Source organism: Homo sapiens, chromosome 3 (genome assembly GCF_000001405.40).
Source record: "Homo sapiens chromosome 3, GRCh38.p14 Primary Assembly".
NCBI lineage: Eukaryota > Metazoa > Chordata > Mammalia > Primates > Hominidae > Homo > Homo sapiens.
In genome coordinates, this window is record NC_000003.12 from 8,522,658 (window position 1) to 8,543,898 (window position 21,241).

Consider the following 21,241-nt stretch of genomic DNA (forward strand, 5'->3'; position numbering starts at 1 on the left):
CCCATTAGACATGACATGTCCAGAGAGAGGAACATTAAGGAGAACATGGTATATTTGGCCCCAAACCTAAATTCTCCCTTGAGTTGAACCTGGAAAAACTAATCCTGAGAGAGGAAAGAAAAAAAGGAATGATTGAACAATTTAATTAATTTTTAAAAATTAAAAATTAAAGGGAATATATCATTTGTCATAGAGAGTAAAAACTATTCTTTCATTCAGCATTTGCTTAAAATTTTATTTGGGACACCAGAAACTCCTGACATCACGAGATAAATCCATCTGACTCTTCCAACTACAACCAGTCCACGGGATAAATTTAACACACACAAACCATGTAATAGGAAAAATCATGGAATCTTTACCCTGAAGGGCTGCCGATTCAGGCACTTCTGCCATCAGCACATTATCCACCAATTGTGTTCTCATTCTGTTGCTTTAAATAGTATTGATCTTTAAAAGCAAAACAAAACTAAACAAAAGTTTCCATCCATAGAATTCTAAGTACTAGATCAGTAGGGCTCATCTCAATTTGTTTAGTCTGTGCATTTTTATCTTCATTACACAATTCAGGAAAAGAGTCTCTAAATTAAAGGGATTTCTTCACATTTGTGCTTGTCCAGACAGAGGAATAGGAATGCCCAAGGAGCAACCCTGGAGTAGAAATGGTAGATTTGAACACACATACACACTCTCACACATACACATGCACACACATGCACAAGCACACACAGCTCCCTGAAGAGCATCTGTCATATGACCCCAATGTAAACGAGGTCTTTGTTGCTGTCTGTGTGAGACTCACTGTGTTTTAGGATGCACTTTATCCAAGTCATTTTTTTGGTTGATTTCTGCCATAAAAGTGGGCTGCAAGTCTCACTCTTTCATATCATACTTGGGAAGACAGGATTCTCTTGGCCACAGCCTGAAGCCCTAGCGTGGGGGCTTCCCAAAGCTTGGGGAGGTGAGTGAGCAAGAAGCCAAAGGATAAACATGGAGCAGCGGTTCTGCTTTAAGATTGGAGGGAGCAAGATGGGGAACATTTGTTTTACATTACAACAGGAAAAATATAGATTGTGGAATAGGATGCAAAAAGTCACCCTGATGTTTAAGAGCAAATAGACTGGAAAGAGTCATTGTTCACCTTCCCTCAGCATCCCTGGCTTTCCAACCCCCTGGCATCCTCCTCTGGTGACACACAGGACCTGTCTCAGGAGGAGAGGTCAGGCAGAGGATTTACTTTCAGGAAGGGCAACAAATGTAGACTTTAAGTTATGGACAGGCAGTTATCGTATTGGTAAGTATGTTGATTCCATTACTCTGTTAAGATTGTGTAACCCTGTTTTGGCAATTCCTTGCTTCAATTCTTGGGAGCTTCAAACAATGGAAGAAGTCCAGACCCTTGTCAAGACCCCAGTCTTCCTTTTTTTTAAACTTTTAATTTTTGTGGGTACATAGTAGGTATAGGCCCCAGGATTCTTAAGTGGGAAAGTGAAAAAAGCCTTCCTGGCCAGGGCACTCCCCAGAAAAATCATACTTCTTAAGGAAAAAAAAAAAAAAAAAAAAGACTTCCCATGCAGCTTGCAACCATTTGGGTGTTGCACATTCCCAGGTTGGGCCCCCTCATCTGGTGGGAATCCTCAGTCGAAGCTTCCACCTGAAGTTGGGGAGGGTTTGGGGACCACCCCTCGCCTCAGGCAGGGCAGAGGGTCTCAGTATCCATGAGTGCCCCAGAGAGGAGTCAGCCAGTCAGTGAAATTTAGAGGAAGAGGAAGGGTTGTGGTTTCCCTTCGGTCTGGTTAAGAGAATGACTGCATTTGGCACCAAAACCTGTGGGGCAGGCTTGTGCCAGGGCTGATGCTGAAATGACAACAATAAAAGCCAGACTTGCTGTAAAAAACTCTCCTTGTAGGGAATGGTGGTCCACAAGCTGCTTATGAAAAGGGAATTTTTTTCAGCCTTATTGAGGTATAACTGACAAATAAAAATTGTATGTCTTTAAGAGGTATAACTTGATGGATTTGTGATGTTGCTGTTGTTGTTGTTGTTGAGACAGGGCTTCACTCTGTCATCCAGGTTGGATGCAGTGGCACGATCACAGGTCACTACAACCTCAACCTCCTGGGCTCAAGCAATCCTCCCGCCTCAGCCTCCTGAGTAGCTGGGACCACAGAAGTGAACCACCATACCCAGCTAATTTTTTAGTTTTCTGTAGAGATGAGGTGTCACTATGTTGCCCAGACTGGTCTCAAACTCCTGGGCTCAAGCAAGTCACCCTCCTTGGCCTGCCAAAGTGCTGAGATTATAGACGTGGGCCACCGAGCCTAGCCCAAATTGATGTTTTGATATTCATATACATTGTGTACTAATCAAACTAATTTTTTTACATGGTGAGAATACTTAAGATCTACCCTGTTAGCAAATTTCAAGTATAGAATACAGTATTGTTAACTATAGTCATGATGCTTTACATTAGATCTCCAGAACTTACTCATCCTGCCTAATTGAAACTTTGTACCCTTTGACCAACATCCTCCCATTTCTCTTAATCCTCAGCCTCTGGCAACCACAGTTCTCTTCTGTGTTTCTATGAGTTTGACTATTTTAGATTCCACATATAAATGAGATCATTATTTGTCTTTCTGTGCCTGACTTATTTCACGTAGCATAATGTCCTTGAGTTCATCCATGTTGTCATGAATGGCATTATTCTTATTCCTTTTTGAGGCTGAATATTATTCCATTGTGTGTGTGTGTGTTTGTGTGTGTGTACGTGGGTGTATGTGCCACATTTTCTTTTTCCATTTATTTGTTGACAGACACTTAGGTTGTTTCCATATCTTGGCTATTGTGAATAGCGCTGCAGTGAACTTGGGAAGGCAGTTATCTCTTTGAGATACTGATTTCATTTCCTTTGGATGTATATCCAGATGTGGGATTTCTGGATTGTATGGAAGTTCTACTTTTAATTTTTTGAGGAACCTCATACTGTTTTCCATAATGGCTGTACCAATTTACATTCCTCACAACAGTGCACAAAGGTCCAGGAAGGGAGATTATTAAGACAATGAGCTGAGAGCCTAAAAGTCCAAGTTGGAACGGTTGAAGTTACAATGGTGAGACCAAATGATTCCCAAACTTGTCTGAACATTGGCATCCCCTGGGAACTTTCAGAAATACTGATGCCTGTAATCAACCCCCAGAGATTGTGGCAAAATTTGCCTGGAATGCAGCCCAAGTTTTGGAAGCATTAAAAGATCCCCAGGAGAGTTTAATGTTGCAGACAAGTTAGGGAACCACTGTTGTAGCCCCTCGATACTCAAAGCGTGGTCCCTGGGACAGCAGAAATGGTTTCTCCTGGGAGGTAGGTAGAACTATATGTCAGGCTTGCCCAGACTTGCTGAACCAGAGTGTGCATTTGAGCTAGATCCCAGGTGATTTTGTGCTAATCAGAGTGTTTACTTAATTTAAGGAGCACTCCCCTCCTCACACACCCAGAACAGGCAAAATCCCCTGCTAAAGGACAATCTCATGACACACTGTTTCTCCTTCCTAGCACTGATTCCATTTGTAATTTTACATTTGTGTGAGTTGAGAAAAACGTGTGAGGGCCCCAAAATATCTGGAAGAGGCTCTTTGGCATGGAACTGTAGTGCATTGGTTAAATTAAAATGTGGATCTGGAATTCAGATACCTGTGTCCAAATCTAAGCTCTAGCACTTTAATTTGACCCCTTTGAACCCCACTTAACTAGAGATACTGGATTTTTCCAGGCTTTTCTGGTTTTCATACTAAAAAGTTCTACATCCTAGGCACCAAACAGTCTAGTGCAAACCAGGACAGTTAGTTACCCTTCAGTTAACTCATATGCAACCTAGAGGCACTAACAATGTATCAGTGGTCTCAAACTTTAATTGTTTATCAAAATCACCTGGAGGTCTTGAACAGCGATGTCTGGGCCCCACCTGCAGAATGTTTGATTTCATAGGTCTGGGGTGAGGCTTGAGAATTTGCAGTGCTCACAAGTTCGCTGCTGCTGTGCTGCTGCTTAGAGACCACACCTTGAGAACCACTGCAACATACCTCCCTTGTAGAGTTGTTGTAAGATTTGTACAAGGTCAGCCTTCACACAGTGCCTGGAAAACCACAAATCCTAGTACTTGTTACAGCTACTATTGTTACTTTTGATTATGGAAAAGATGGGACTAAAGATGGTCCCTAAAGAGTCGGCAGGTTTTAAGTTCTCTGAGGTTTAGATGAGCATAAGCAAAATCCCAGAGTTTGCGTGGATTTAGTTCTGCAAGAGGCTCAGGTGGTTGGAAAGAGAATCTGGGTGGAAACAGTAAATAATATGGAAATAGAGACAAATTTGGACAGGTTACTAGCTGTTGAATCTTGAAGAAGAGCTTAACCTCTCTGAGCCTCAGTTTCCTTATCTGAAAATGAGGCTAATGAAATTATCTCATAAGGTTGTCAAGAAGTTTAGATGAAATATCATGAAAATGTTTGGCATGTGCCTGGCACATAGGAAGTACTCAATAAATGTTAACTATGATCATGATCACTGGGAAAGATAAAACACTTTTGATTAAAGGCCAGTATAGGAAAAGGTAGATTTAGGATACCCCACCACCACTGCCTTCAAAGGAGCTCCAATGGAGACCATCTGGATGGGCAAGTTGCTTCTCCACTCTCAGACTCAAGGTCATTCATCATCTTTTGACTGGGAATAATGATGATAATAATTATACTTCAGTGGGAAGTCATATTATTAAATAAGAGAATTACTAAGTAAAATCACTGAGTAAAATTCATGGCAGTAGGGTAGTTTCAGGGTCATATTTTTAAATACAATTCCAGTCCTTTCCTGGACCTTCTGATAATTTTATTCCACTCAACCCATCTCACTCCAGCTTCTCTCCCAGAACCCCTAGGGAAGGGTTTGTTTTAAATAACAAGTCATGTTGACCAATAATCTTTAATAACATGTATGCTTATAGAACTTAACCTGTAAAAGACACGTCTGCATTGAATAGAATTTTGTGTCAATTTGGAACGCACCACCTCAGAAAGGAAACCTGTGAGTAATCATTAGGGCGTGTGATAGTACTAAGATACCACTTTCAAAAAGATAGAATCACAATTGTTGTGCAAATATGAAGTGAAACTTAACAAAGATTGTGTTCTACCCATTAATGAGGGAACCCGTATGATATTTAGGCCAGTTTAAAAAGCGCTTGAGGAGTTAGGTATTTATAAGTAATTTAATGTTAGGACAAGATTGATGGGTTAGTTACAAAACTAGTTAATGTCTTCCAGAACAGTAAACCATAACATTTGGGGTTATCTTTTTTGAAAGGACAGAAATTGTTTGTGTCTCTATTGGACCAAGATCTGCAAGTTAACGTGTTACTTCAGAAAGACTTGGAGCTGAGCAAAGTAAATTTCTCTAGATAATCCTATGGGGATGAGGAGAGCCAGTGCCATATTGCCTCCATATGACATTGAAAGGATGTGCCACTCACCTTTCTGCCTTATGTCTGAGTTTTAAGTACTTTTCTAGGGGGCCGGGGGGACAGGATGGAGTGCAGTGGCGTGGTCATAGCTCACTGCAGCCTTAAACTGCTGAGTTCAAGTGATCCTCCAGCCTCAGCCTCTCAAGTAAGCTGGAACTACAGGCACATACTACCACACCTAGTTTTTTTTTGTTGTTGTTTTCCTGTAGGGATTGGGGTCTCACTATGTTGCACAGGCTGGTCTTGAGCTCCTGGCCTCAAGCAATCCCCCTGCCTCAGCCTCCCAGAGTGCTGGGATTACAGGAATGAGCCACCACATCTAATTATTTTTTTAACAATGGCAAATACTTATTTCAATTTACTGCCTTTTAATGTTACGTGATGCTTACAACAGCCCTATTGAGACAAAGAAAGGGCAGGGATAATTCATTTTTCAGAGGAGGCAATTGAGTTACTCCATGAGGAAGAAGCTGAGCTGGAAGGAGAACCCCCATTTTCTAATTCCAAATCCCATGCTCATCCCTAAATTCCCAGTTGCATTTTCTCTTTTACATTCCTCTTCCTCTCAACCCTACATTGTTCTTGGTGACATTTTTTTTCCCTCTAAGACTTCCCTTGGGATTCACCTGAAGGCAAATGCTTGAGAGAGGAGTCCCAGAGTTGCCCCTGCTCCTTGCATCCCCAGGGGTCTCCTGGTCTAATCTAAGTCCTTTTAAGTCCCTGCCACCATTCAGTTTCACGATAATATCAAATGAACCACATCCTACTAACCCAAGCCAAGGAAAATCGTCAAAACATTTCTTTCTGTTCTCGGGAGAAAGGACAGATTAGATGCTGCATTCCAAGAAACCTTTTTTTAAGTGATGGTTTCTTTTAAACTCTTCTATTCTCAGCTACTGTGAGACACTGTGCCGTCTTTCAAGAGACAGAGCCCACATCAGAAAAACCTACTGTTTATAAACCAGAGTATCTCACTTGGGACTGTGGCTGACTGATGTTTTCCCCTCCTCAGTAAACAAGATCGTTCTCTCTGTGTTGAAGATAGCGGGGTCTGTCTGGCTTCTGGATGAATGGCATGCAGTGGACAAATGACTATTTATTGCATTAAACAGTCAGCCAGGAAACTAGCTGCAAGTGTGGCCTGATGACCTGAATCAATTTCTTCCTTGCAAGGCCATTTATTTTTCTCTCCCACATACTTCTGTTGCCATGGAAACTGTCCCACTAGCAGATGGAGACCAGGGCCAACTCTCGCTTCCTGAACCTCCATTTAGTTTAGCGTTCTTGCCCAACTAGGCCAGTCGCCTGTGTCTTCACTTGCCTGACTGCATGGGCTTTCTTTGTGCTTGTTGAGATTTTAACGTCGATTCTCTTCAGGTGATTGGTAGCAGAGCACCGCGAGGGCAAAGGGCTAGGGATGGCCTCACTTAATGAGTTAATCATTAAGTATGGGACATGTGTGAGCTTATTTTGTTTTTACATTTTGTAGGAAAACCTAGTCAGAGAGGCAACTCTTTTTACAAGTCAAAAAAGTAGAGAATAAGAAAGTATAGGGGGTGTGTATTTAGAAAAAATAGTTCCTCTGAAGTCCCCTAGCATTTTGAAGCTAGAAAAAAATGTGTTGAGAATATCTAATTCAGGGTCTCTCAAACTTTTCTTCACAAGATGTAATTAATGACAACAACAAAGAACGCTCAGTGCATAATAAGTGTGTGCCAAGCCCTTTTCAGGCAGCATCCCGTTTAACCTCCTGGTAACCCTGCAAGGCAAGTTGCATTCTTGTTATCCCCATGACGCAGGTCATGGAACTCAACAAGCCTACTTGCCCAAGTACAGTGGAGGAAAGGGGAAAAACTGAGACTAAAACCCGGGACTAAAGCCTGGGTCTCCAAACCCGAAACAGTTGCTTGCTCTCTACCTCACTTCTTGCTTCTAACGTAGGCTGGCCTGTTAAAGGCTCGGGAGCCTCTACACATCCAGTGCCTGCCATTTGTATTTGATCAGGTAATTCTCTGTCCCACTCCCAACCAGGAACCACTTCGTAACATCTCACCAAGTGAGGATCCTGCAGAACAGAATGTGGGCAACCCCAGTGCAAGCCAGTTCCTTATTTTTCAGAAGAGATGCTTTAGGCTGGGCAAGGAAATGACTCATCTCCAGTTACACAGCTAATAAATGCCAGAGTTGGCACCCAAAGGCCAGACCCCCGCATCACCGGCGAGTGCTCTGCTCTGCTCTGCTGTGCTACCTACATCACTATTCTAAATCAAACCCCGAGTTTGCAGACAGATTGCAGCTCCACTCTCCAAGCCAAGCATCAGAACTAATCCCCTTGTAGAATGAGGGTTAAATCAGCCTCTCATTAGAAGAACAATAAAGCTGAAGTGTGCAGGGTGCTTTGCCACTTGGAAATGCTTCCACCTACCTCTCCGGTTTCCAGCCTTCTGAGTATATCTGAAATGGTCCAACAATGAAGCCTTATTCACAAGTTGTATATCTCCCAAAATAAACTTTGAGTGACTCCAATATTAAGTGTGTAAGGATCACTGCATTTCAACTAGGAGAACTGAAGGTGTCAAGGGGAGGTGGAAATGAGCAAGGTTATATGCCAGTGGCTTTAGGGAGCAAAGTCCTACCTGTGAAAGAAAGCTCCCAGCTTAGGAGAATGAGTTAGCAGTGGGTGTTGTCTTAATTTTCACTTTTCACATGAATCTAGCATTGAATAGGCCTAAATATAAACCTGCTTCCCTCCACACTCCACATATGTGCAACATGACTCTCACTCCCTGAAGCTGTAAATATGTATTGAACAAAATGACAAAGTGTGTGGGGACATGGTGTACACAGCAGTCACCAAATAGAAGGCATGGAGTGAGGCATTATTGTGAGAAGATTTGGTGCTGAAGAGAAGTATTGTGAAGGACAGCTGTCTCTTTCCATACGTCTGAATTCTACCACTGGCAATGAGGATGGCTTCACAAGTTTCACTGCTTGTATTTTCCCTCTTAAATGCAAAGAGAGTAGACTAGTAGCATCCAAAGGACATGCTCACATTGCATACCCTACTCATCATGCCTTTCATACCTTTTTTACCTTGCACATTTTCTTCCTTCTGCTAGGCATCTCCTTTCCCTTTTCTGCCTGTCCATCTTGCACAGCCCAAATCCAAAGTCACCTCCTCTAAGAAGAAGTAGTCTGCTCTAATAAACTCATATTTCCCATATGAATTTATTAACACTTTCCCCTGTGCTTCTAAAATCTGTGGCAAAATAAGAGCAGTTACCATGTCTAGTGCCTAATGTGGTCCTGCACGTTACTATATTATCTCGGTATCCACTTGGCAGATAAGGAAACTGAGGCTCAGTATGTCCAAGGCTAGGCAGCCAATAAGTTACTGAAAAGCTCGATTTGGAATCCAAGTCTCTCAGACTCCAAAATTCGTGCCTCTTTTACTACACAACATGCAGCTTCCTTTACCTCAGACTTGCCCCTTACAGGAGCAGGAGATGAATGTGTTTTTCTCTCCATATCCCCCTAGCTAACAGTGAGTTCCACTAGGGCACACCTGAGTCTTATGTTGTATTCCTGTGTCTGGTACATAGTAGATGCTAAATAAATGGTATGTTTGTTGGATAAGAAGCTTATCCCTTTACATTACTAGTTGATTGAGCCCTGCTTCAGGTGAAATCATAATAAAGTACATCCCTGTACCAAGTCGTCCCCACCCCAACCCCAATGGAGAGTTGGGTAAGTTTCTCAGCCAGCAGATCCATATTACTAACCCACTTCTTCTCCAATGTTAATGTAATGCAGATCTCCTGGGAATTTTGTTAAAGTACAGATTCTGATTCAAACAGGCTGGAGTCGGGTCTAAGGGTCTGTATTTCTGGCAAGCCCCAGGTGACGCTTCTGGTTTGAAGATGCCATTTGGGTTTAAACACCTCAGCAGCAGCAGCAAATGCACTTTTGGTACCTTTGGCTGGTAGCAAGTAATAAAACCTGTCTCATGCATTGTTCTCCTTCCAAAGGAGATTTTAAGTGCTCATGTGATTTTTCAGTGTTTTAGCAAAATATTTAAGTTATGCTTCAAGCTATAAACATTTGGCAAAATGCACATTTGTTTGTGCCTGTAGCTTTGGTTTAATCACACTCTATCAATAAATCACAAATAAATGAGGGAGAGGAGACACTCACTGAAGATTCCATTCCAGTGACAAGTGAGAGTGGGTGAGGGTGGGGGATGGAATAGATAGATGGTCACTCACAGCAGGGCGTTTCCAACCAGTCTTGCTGTTTTGAAACAGCACTGGAGGCTGGGAAAGAACCCCCATTGCATTCTTATTGGGAAGAGCCCCACCCTTCCACAATTGCCTACCCTCTGGCCCCATTCCATGTTCCTGTTTGGTCTTCTCAGTTCCCGGTAAACAGTTTGTGATGGCTTATTGATCTCAAGCCCTTTGAACCCCACACAGTCCCTTTGCCAGCACGCCAAGTCTTTTAGAGGTCAAGCATCTCCGGTCCAAGATGTTTGGAAGGAAAACACCCTCTTTTCTGTTCCTTTTCCAGATGTCCCTGGGCCAGCTGCAGTCAGCAAGAGGTGTGGCATGTTTGGGATGCAAGGGGACGTGTTCGGGCTTCGAGCCACATTCATGGAGGTAACAGATTTTGTCAGGAGGGTCCCTGTCTGCCTTTGTTACTTGGCTGTCCTCTCGGGGAACCCTGGTTGCTTTCTTCGCTGAGACTGCTTTGGTTGTATGCGTTGTCAGGGAAGGATGGCTGCAGAGGGAAGGCACTCCTGCTTGGTCCAATTCAGAAACGAAAAAAGTCCTTGGGGGAGTGTGGCGGGGGCAGTAAAGATGTGAAGAAGGAGTTTAGCACTTCCTAAACCATTTCAAGGTAGAGTCCACCAAACCCAGCCCAGCAAGAATTGCTCTGGGAAGACCCAAGCAGAGGTTAGCTGGTCCCTTGTGCCTTTGGGGTATGCCTCGGGGTTTGGTGGATGGGGTGATCTCCCCTCACTGCACCAACTTCGCTGTGGATGGGTTTTGGTCTAGAGTGGCCCCTGGGACAGAAAGAGAGGTCATTCTGTCCACAGTACTTAAAAACCAGGACCTGGTATTCATATCTGCACAGGAGGACCATAAGATCCAGCTGGAGTTGGATTCGCAGAGGTTTTCTTTCTTTTTTTCCACTGAGGATTCTGAGGTTAAGAATGAGGCTGCCACAATGCAGCGTCCCTGGGCAGCATTCATGTCAGCATCTATGTGGATGGCACCTCTGGAGTGTGCAGGGAACAGACTGTAAGTCTGTCCCTGCGGCCCTGGGAGAGGAAAGTTAAGTTCTGTGGAGCACATAGCAAAGAAAGAGTTTTTATCACCACTGCTGTAGCGTTGCCTTGAGCGCTCAGTGGGGGGACAAAGTTTGGAAGGTGTTTTCGCAGCAATACTGACTTCCATTATGAGATGGGAATTATAAAAATAACTACGTATGAACTGAATGAAATCTTTTTTATTTAAATGTTGAAATAAACCTAAGCAGTAGGTATTAGTATCTCCATTTTGTTGATCAGGACATTGAAGGTAGGCAATGGGGCAACAACTACCAGATGGCAGGATTTGAACTCAGATCTGCATGAATCCCAATCCCATGCTCCTAATCGTTCTGCAGTACACAGGGCTATGAGCTTTCAGAGCAGAACACTGTTCCCTGACTCCATTCCCTGACAGTTCCCAACCTCAGAGGAGCTCGCACCGTCTTCTGGTTGCTAGGGACCTTCAAGGTCCTCCAACTCAGGCTTCTATCCCCTTCAAAAACTCCTTCTATAATTTAAACACTCCTAGGAGGAGTTCTCCACACTTACTATATTTTGGCCATTTGAGCTCTTTCTGGCCTGGAAAGAAAGTCAACTTCCTTATCATTTCAACCCCACTGGTCCTGAATCTCAGGACAGCGTTGATTCCTCCTCAGCAATTTGAAGACAGCTAGGACGTCTCCTTTTATATTTCTTGAGCCAGGGGAAAATGTTATCTAAATGCACCCACCGAGTCAATTCAATCAGTTTTCCCTTCTCTCAAGGACCTCAATCCTGTGCTCCCTGCTGTCCAACATCTGAAAATGATCATTTGGTATATTTTTTCTGGTTTTCCAGTTGTTCAGGAAGAGAGGACAATTCTGGACCCTATTTTTCATGGCAACAAGCAGAAGTCTCTTAGCATTGTTTTAATCCCTCCATTTTCTTGTCATCGTACAAATGATTTGAACATCAAGTGAATTTGTCTTTGAGAAATACAGATTGAAGCTTGCAGGTCCTGCATATCAAGTGTCATCCTTGGTTTGAAGAATCCAAATAGGGACTTAAATTAGACTCAAATTGAAGCAGTAACATCACAGAAGCTTAGGAGGGAAATCCTGTTAAACTTTTTTATGCTCCAGGTTTTAAACTCTCAATTGTTTGTAAGACATTTAAATGACCAAAGTGCCAACCAACATGGTTTAATAGGAAAGCCCTTCAACTAATCATCACAGGACAGAATTCAGTCCCAGATTACCAATGACAGATTACAGAAATGGCTGTTTTAATACCGTTGAGGATATTTTGGGGTGTGCCTGTGTCCTCTATAATCTGGGCACCTGGAAAGAGTGGGGTGGGGTGAGAGGGGTGGATCACTCATGTATAAAGTCCTAGAAATGTGCCTGGCCACATGAAGAGTGTGAATAAAAGGAGAAATTGTGTTGACACCATTTCAAGGAACATCTCAGATCTGTTAACTTTTTTTTGTTTTGAAATGTTTTGCATTCCCAGCCTCTCTAATTATCATCCTGAAATTCCACATTAACTGCAAAAGCTATGCGCAGCCTCCTCATCTAGTTCCATTTATGGAAAGTATTGGGGAGGTCAGAAGGTCAGATGGGACACTGAAGAGTCAGGTTCCTCCATGTCCCTCTATGCCAGGATTTCCTTCACTTTCTGCCTCTTCCTTCTCCTTCCACTTCCAGCCCTGCTGTTCTCACTCCCCTGATACTGCCTAGTGCCTGTCTTCTTAAAGAAGCAGGCTTCTCATGCCTGGCTCTGAAAATGGATAAGCAAGAGAATATTATTGATTGTGAATAAAATGCAAAACAAAACAACCCATTTTTATTTTTATTTATTTAATTTTTTTTGAGAAGGAAAACCTTCTCATTTATTCCCTGCAGCACCCTGAGGGTCATTTTCTCCTTTTTGCTACTGGAACACATCCTTGAGATTGTCAATTTTAACATCTCTCAAATTGCAGCCCACTGAATGTGAACTTGTACTGCAAGCTTCTCCAGTAGCATTCAAAATGTCATGCTGCACATCACCGTATCAAAGTCAAAGGAGTAGCTTTGCACTAAAGAGAGGTGTTTAACCTCCCTTAACCCACTGTTTTCCAAACTCATGACCACTAAGCACCAAGCCTTTTTCTATGTACCACATACTAATCTCCTGGAGAACTGGCCCAGGCCAGTAGAACTACTCCCAGATTTTAGGCAACTCTCTTCTGCCCTGAATGTATTCTACTTTATATAATTTCCATCTGATTTTCTCTCCCTGTCCCATCCCAACTGTAAGCTCCTTAAAGGTCACAACAAGGCCTTCTTCTCTTCATATTCAGTAAGGGGTTCCCAACCTCTCAGCACAATTGACATTTTGGGCCTCATAATTCTTTGTTGTTGGAGCTATTCTGTGGAATGTAGAATGTTTACAGCATCCCTGGCCTCTACCCACCAGACACCAATAGCACTCCTCTACCCCACTGGGACAATCGAAGATGTCTCCAGACATTGCTAATTCTGTCCTTTGGGACAGAATTGACCTTAGTTGAGAACCACTAATTTAGACCATCAGGGCTTGCCCCCACTAGCCCCACAATCAACGTTTGTGATATTCGATCAGACGTATTTACCTCCTGACTGTAGGAGGGAAAAGGAGGGTTCCCTCAGCCTTGCCGATCATTCAGCTGCAGTGACCTCCCTTGCTGGGCCTCCCTCATCCCTGCAGTTGGCCTTGACATTGCTCACTTTACTGTACAAGCTCTCAAGTTGCATGCAGAAGAGCATCTGAGACCCAGCACAGCCTGCCCATGGTGACAGGCCGGAAAGGGAGGGGAGCGATTTTCCTCTCACGCCGTGGAACTCTCTTGATTTCTAAACCTTAACAGCATGACACCAAGTAGCCACAGATTTTTGTTTTTAATTGTCAAAGAGAAGCATGAGGCTTTTTAGTAAATCTGAACCCTCCCCAGGATGTGTTTCCTTCTTCTGACAAAGCCTTCCCAATACACATCCATCTCCCCAGCCAGAGGGGTTTTCTGACCTCTCTCCCTGCTGGGTCCTGTTCACAAATTTCTTGAAGAAAATATTCACTGCATTCTAACGGCAGTATTTATGCTAAAGAGTTTAAAAGTTGCTGAAGCTCCGAGGCTATGATCTTGGAAAACAATTTTAATAATTCTTTAGAGCAGGAGTTTGCAAACTTTTTTTGTAAAGGGCCAGAAAGTACATATTTTAGGCTTTGTAAGCCAGATACTCTCTGTTGTAACTACTAACTCTGCTGTTGTTGCCCCAGATCAACCACAGACAATATGTTAATGAGTGGTCATGGCTGTGTTCCAATAAAACTTTATTTACAAGAGCAGATTGTGGGCCAAGTTTAGGCTATGGGCCACACAGACTCCAGCCCAGCTTTAGAGCATCTCTGATGAACAAATCAGCCTTTGCCGTGGCAACCACCAGGAGGGAAAACATACCACTCTTTTTACCAGCACAAGTTATATCCTACATTCCTCACTGATAGATTAATACAAACACTGTCATTTCCCAAATGCAGTTCCCAATTCCAAAGGCCTTTTTGTCTCAGGTTACCATTTGTCCGCTGCTAGTTTTTCCAACTTAAAGTTTTAGCTTGCTTTCAAAAGGGTAGATGCTGCTAGCAGGAGAATGTGCCTCTTTTTCCTGGAGGTTAATCTCACTGGTCCCCATCCACCCACCCCCAGGAAAATATGCAAGTCTTGCAAATGCAGCCAAGAGGACCACTGCCTAACATCTGACCTAGAAGACGATCGGAAAATTGGCCGCTTGCTGATGGACTCCAAGTATTCCACCCTCACTGCTCGGGTGAAAGGCGGGGACGGCATCCGGATTTACAAGAGGAACCGGATGATCATGACCAACCCTATTGCTACTGGGAAAGATCCCACTTTTGACACCATCACCTACGAGTGGGCTCCCCCTGGAGTCACCCAGAAACTGGTAAGAGAGCTTCCCCAACCAAGCAGTTGTTTTCCTATCCTCATAAATACTAGCCATGTCAAGTGTTTCTGAATTTCAAACATGGGGTGGCAAGAGCTCAAGGTCACAAAAATGACAGGAGTGGCTGTGGTTTTAGCCCTGCCCTTATATCATGTGATGTTGAGAAATGAAGACTATCTGGGCCTCGGTTTTCCTTATCCATGAAATGGGTAGAGGTGTTCATATGGACCCCAAGAGGCCTTGCAGCTCTAGTACAGGGGCATTTATTGTTCCATTTGGGCTCCTCACTTCTGAACAGGAGATAGTTTATCACTCAAAATTCTGAGTGCTTATCTCCATCTGCAAGATATTCATTTTCCCTTGAAGTAGCCTGGGATATGCCCTTTGCAAACCTGTAGGAGAGCAGAGAAACATTTCTCTCTTCTGCCTAAATGCTGAAACCTATTGGTCTTAGGAGGGAGAGCCAAACTGGTTTTATATAACCTTGAACAAAAGCAACCAGAGAAATCTCAAGTAAATGATCAGAGAAACCCTGAGGAGGGCAGAAAGGACACAGGTCCAGAGAGAGCAAGTGACTCACACAAGGTTACACCCTAGCTGCTCGCTGGAATCCCCGGGACCTGCAGAAGGTCTCCATACCCAGGTCTCATCCCAGACCATTGAGTCAGAAGCTCCAGACTACAAAATCCAAATCATCAGATGTGACCATTTAAATGACTCCCCGTGCAGCCACCTTCAAGATCCAATGCACCAGATCAGGGCTCCTACAATCTCAACATGGGTAGATATCACCTGGGGAGCTCATCAGAATGCATCCAGCAAGTTCAGGGCCATCCTGAGATACCGCACGCCTGACATACTCCCAGGTGATGTTGATGCTACTGGTCCCCAGAACCTTACATGTGGAGTAACAAGAGGCTGGATGATTTCTATATGTTAATACAATTTGTAGAAGGTTCAACAATTTTAAAAATGCAAGCATGGCATTTAATTGAATATCTGCTGGAAGAAAAGGAGTGCCTTTGGAGCCCTTCATGGCCCTATCCTTCAGGCTCCTCCATGGCTCCCATCACTGTGCTCTCACTCCCAACATCTCAACACCTTAAGACACTCTGACTTCCTCCTTCCAGTGCTAGAACACACCAAGCTCCTGCCCTCCTTGGGGCCTTCGCACGTCCTGCTCCTTTTCTGAAAGGTTCTTTCCTTGCTCTTCCCAAATAGTCCTTCTCCAGATATTCAGTTTACAATAGATGTCACCTGCCATCCTATCACATTTTTTATTTCTTTTCGTTTCTTTAACAACTTTTATTGCAAACAGATTATCTTTTTTCTGTGCCTAGATATGAGGGCAGACACCCTGCCTGTCCTGTAAACCGTAACATCCCTGCACCCAGGACGGTGCAGGGTGCAGGACAGGTGTGACGAGTGTTAGTGCAATGTCACCTTTTAGGCCAGAGATGCTCTAAGTGTGGGCTGTGGACTGGAGCTCTTCCGCACAGTCTTTGTGACCTGGACCCAATGAAAAAAGTTGAGAAATTGAGAATATATGTTGGGAAAATGTTACAGCAATTTGACATGCAACTGTGTGATGGGATGAGAACTCATATCAGAACAGAATTCCACTGTGGTAAGACTCACACTGAAATCTCATGGGGTATGCGCTACATTCTAATCACATGAGAGAGACCACAAATCACTCTGCAATAAGTAAAAAACAAACAAACCTTGATCCTTCGCCATAGAGAGTTTCAGAGGCACAGTTCTAAGCTGTTGCCTTAGGGGGGAAAATCCCTTCCAGATAAAATGAAAAGAGACTAAGATTTTTTTCTTAATCTGTACTTTTTGATAAAGAAGAGCACATTTTAAAAGAACACTTCAGCATCCATGGACTCGATCACCCTGTAAGGCCGAGTTGTTTTACATGTAAGGAAACACAGAATGGTTAATTGGCTTTCAAAAGTTTTTAGTACTAGACAGGGGCTTGTCCCGGGCCACAGAGTGTGGCCACAGAACAACAGCAGAGCCAGGACATGCCCGGTAGTTCAGAGCTCAGGTCTCCCTCCAGCCCCAGGTCTGGGTAAGCTATCAAGCACGTCTCCAGGATGTCAGTGGAAACTAAAGCAAGCAGCTCATGAAAGAGCTGGCTGCGGGCTTCAGGGACCGGCTGGTGAAAACCCCAAACACATTGACCCCAGACTAATCAGGGGAAGCCATCGTCAGGCAGTGATTAATGCTGGCTCATAAAACCACATGGCTGTAAAGAACCCCTCTGTCTGCTCTTCATCTGGGCGTCCAGGGCAAGTCCCATTTCTGAGATTGGACAACTCCCCCTTCCCACTCACCTTCCCAACATTTTTATTATTATTATTATTATTATTATTATTATTATTATTATTATTGTACTTTAAGTTCTAGGGTACATGTGCACAACGTGCAGGTTTGTTACATATGTATACATGTGCCATGTTGGCGTGCTGCACCCATTAACTCATCATTTACATTAGGTATTCTCCTAATGCTATCCCTCCCCCAGGCCCCCACCCCACCACAGGCCCCAGTGTGTGATGTTCCCCATCCTGTGTCCAAGTGTTCTTATTGTTCAATGCAGCCATAAAAAAGGATGAGTTCATATCCTTTGTAGGGACATGGATGAAGCTGGAAACCATCATTCTGAGCAAATTATCGCAAGGACAGAAAACCAAACACCGCATGTTCTCACTCATAGCTGGGAATTGACCAACTTTTTTTTAATTACCGAATGATCAAGACTGATTATATTTTGGGAATGGGACCGAATTTTGCTATCTCTCATCCTTTGCAACCAGAATGAAAGTCTGAGCAATTCTTAAGCCTTCAAATGCTGATAACAATAAGCCTAATTGTGGATATTTGTTAAGTATTTACTGTATACTAGCCACCATACTAGGAGCTATCCATGCACAATCTCATCTAATTATCCAGCACTGTTAGAAGTATACTATCATTACCCTCAGCTACAAAGAAGGAAACTGAGGCTCAGAGAGATGATGCAACGATGCAGCTAGCCCAATGTCCCACAGCCGATGTAAGTGACAGAGCCAGGTCTTGAACTCAGGCCACCCTGACTCCAAAGTTTGGGCTCTTCCCTACCAATCCAGGCCAGGCCAGGCGAACTGGCAGGTGGGAGGGGAGGCAGGAAGGAGCAGATACCCTGGGTTAGCATTTTCAGGGAAGGCTATCATGAACAGGAAGCAGCTTGAGTGTGGCTTTGAAAGCTGCCAGGATTTGGGGGAAGGAAAGAGGGAGAAGACAAAGGAGACCAGCATCCACTGAGCATTTGTATGTGTATCTCATGAACACCTCACCGCGCCCTATGTGCTGAGTATGTTACAGGCTCATTTTACAGAGGAGCAGACAGAGGCCCGTGAGGAGCCAATGCAGGGGTGGCACTTACTCATACCTCGCCCTCTGCTTCCAGACCCATGGCAGGCATTACTTATCAGTCAGAGTACTGTTTCCCATTGACTTCTTATCGGCCCTCAGGATCCTTCTTCACATAGCACTCTCGGTCACCACTATGGACTGGGGTTGACTTGTCAGATGAAGCCCATTTACTGTTCTTGGCTGCCAGCAGAAGAATCAGGAAGAGAAGAATCAGAACAGGGTCTCCGGATTCCAGAGCCCATGTGTGTTTCACTGCCTAATCCAGGGTACAGGAGTGCCTTCCCTTCCACTTTGCTTTGCATTTTTAGTTTCTTTCCTGATACAGGCAGATTCCTGGAACCTCTCCACCCAAGATGTCCCGACCAGGTTGCAGAGCACCAAGTAACTCAGAAAGGTCCTCAGGGGGCCAGGTGCAGTGGCTCGCACCTGTAATCCTAGCACTTTGGGAAGCCGAGGCAGGTGGATCACCTGAGGTCAGGAGTTTGAGACCAGCCTGACCAACATGGTGAAACCCCTCTCTACTAAAAATACAAAAATTAGCCGGGTGTGGTAGCAGGCGCCTGTAATCCCAGCTACTTGGGAGGCTGAGGCTGGATAATCGCTTGAACCCGGGAGGCAGAGGTTGCAGTGAGCCGAGATTGTGCCACTGCACTCCAGCCTGGGCAACAAGAGCAAAACTCCATCTCAGAAAAAAGAAAAATCAAGAAAGGTCCTTAGGAAAAACATAAAACCTAAACCAACCTTTCCAACTGGTCTGAGAAAATGCTTCCTGCTAAAGGTTATGGGAACAAGATTTAGCTCCTATGACGTAGTCAGGTATGAGACGTAGATAACATGACGTAGTCGGGTATCAGAGAGATACCTGGGAGATTCTGTTTCAGAGTCAGAGCAGTGCCAGGTCGTTGACTCCGGCCCAAACCTCTGTCCCTGTCATCCCCTTCCCAAGTCCGTGCCAGTCAATAGTGGTTGCTTGGAGGGCTGTGTTAAGAGGGATTCTGAGGGCTTGATTAGCAACGTTTGTGAATAGGGAGCAGTGGTGGAAGTCTCAGACCAGCCAGGCAAGGCCAGGATCACAAAGTACACACCAGTGGCAGCTGGATGCAGTGGCATTGACCATGCAAAGACAGAGAGGCTGGAGCTTTTTTTTTTTTTTTTTTTTTTTTGTGACTGCTTCTTCCTCTGTCGCAGTGGCAGGATCTGATCTCACTACAACCTCCGCCTCCTGGGTTCAAGCGATTCTCATGTCTCAGCTTCCCAATTAGCTGGGGCTATAGGCACACACCACCATGCCCAGCTAATTTTTTTGTTGTTGTTTTTAAGTAGAGATGGGGTTTTACCATGTTGGCCAGGCTGGTCTCAAACTCCTGACCTCAAGCCATCTGCCCGCCTTGGCCTCCCAAAGTGCTTGGATTACAGGCATGAACCACCATGCCCAGCCCCAGCTGGAGCTTTGAGCTGCAAAAGGATCACTGGGTCCTTGGGAAGGGAAACTCCCTTTCTCCAAGGCTCCAGCCAGGAAGCACATTAGCCCTGCAGCCACAGACACCCAATGCCAGTGCAGAGCCGTGAAAGGACACCGTGAACGCAGGGGTCAACTAACATCTGGCTGGCGAAGCCGCTGCCCCAGGATCCCTAGCACACCATTTATTGTAAAGCTCAGAAGAAAAGGGTGCAGGCCCTGGAAAGCCAGAGAAACAGACACATCCAGGGAATGGGGGATCCTGTTACCACTTGATGCTTACCCAGCCCGCTCACTCTGAAATGATGACAAAAGGAAATGCCTCCAGAGATTGGGGAATATTTTTCCTCTTGGAAAATCATCCGTCTTCTAGAGAGGCAGCAGAGAAGGGCTTGAGACCCATGCTGCTGGGTTCATAGCTGTCTCTATCACATACTAGCTGTGTGACCTTGGGGAGGTTACTTAACTTCTCTGTGCCTCTGTTTTCCAAAAGGTAACATTAGTACCTTCCTCCTAGGGTTGTTGTGAGAATTAAATGGGTTAACGTGTGTGAAGCACTTGGAAGAGTGCCTGGATCATAGCAAGCCCTCCCTAAGAGTTGGCTGTTCCTATCATCTCTTCAACTGCTGAACATGGAGAAGTCAGCAGTCTTCCCAGGAAGGGCAATTACTCTCCCATGAGCCGAATCAGCCTGGATGGGGCTGCTTCGGAACTTGGTGTTAGTAAGATGCTAGTCAGGCCTGATCCCCACTCTGGCAGAGTGAGCCAAGCTCTTCTTTCCACTTCTCCGAAATCCTTCTTTAGATTCTGGAAGCAGGGGCAGGCCCTGGGCAAGAAATAGGAAGGGGACGGTGTGAGCAAAGTTGCCACCCAAGGCTACACCCTAACGCATCTCTGCAGGGCTCTGTGCCTGCCCTCGCCTGTTGGCCGTCCGGCTGCCACTTCTCACTGTCTCTGATGGTCACATCCTCTTTCCCCACTCACTGCCCCGAGAGAAGCCCCAACCCTGGGGTATCCTGTGTCAGAGCCACCCAGGAGAAACTGTTTTAAACTGCTGATAGATAGATAGATAGATGATAGATAGATAGATAGATAGATAGATAGATAGATAGATAGATAGACAGACAGACAGAGAGATAGACAGACAGACAGATAGACAGACAGACAGACAGATAGATAGATAGATTTTGAGACATGCTGCCCAGGCTAGACTGCAGTGGTGTGATCACAGCTCACTATAACCTTAAGCTCCTGAGCTCAAGCGATCCTCCCACCTCAGCCACTGAAGTAGCCAGGTCTACAGGCATGTGCCACCACACCTGGCTGATTTTTCAGTATTTTGTAGAGATGAGGTCTCTCTGTTTCCCAGGTTGGCTTCAAGCAATCCTCCTGTGTCAGCCTTGGAAGTGCTGAGATTACAGGCATGTGCCACCGCTCCTGGCTTAAAGTGCTCATTTCTAGGGCTCTCCAGACCTCCTAAATCAGAACCTAAGGATAGACCCAGAAAACTTTTCACAAGGTCTCCCAGTGATTCTTATGCACCCTAAAGTTTGAGGTTCTTCAGACCTACCTGACT

General features: G+C 44.6%; 1 protein-coding gene across 4 annotated transcripts in view, besides 1 other annotated feature; it reads left to right on the forward strand.

Moving 5' to 3' along the window:
* Nucleotides 1–21,241, forward strand: part of LMCD1 (LIM and cysteine rich domains 1) — a 72,846-nt gene that overhangs the window by 20,835 nt on the left and 30,770 nt on the right. For 2 of the 4 annotated variants that reach the window (NM_014583.4, NM_001278235.2), the window contains exons 2-3: nucleotides 10,080–10,168; nucleotides 14,528–14,783. In NM_014583.4, the coding sequence (NP_055398.1) occupies nucleotides 10,080–10,168; nucleotides 14,528–14,783 (345 nt within the window). The remainder of the gene's footprint in view (nucleotides 1–10,079; nucleotides 10,169–14,527; nucleotides 14,784–21,241) is intronic. The other 2 variants (NM_001278234.2, NM_001278233.2) reach the window with 2 other exon arrangements.
* Nucleotides 12,955–13,923: an enhancer, noted in NCBI's record as "NANOG-H3K27ac hESC enhancer chr3:8577298-8578266 (GRCh37/hg19 assembly coordinates)". NCBI's record gives its function as "activates a minimal SCP1, AML or CMV promoter by ChIP-STARR-seq in naive H9 embryonic stem cells {active_cell/tissue: H9 hESC(naive)}" and the evidence as "EXISTENCE:reporter gene assay evidence [ECO:0000049][PMID:30033119]".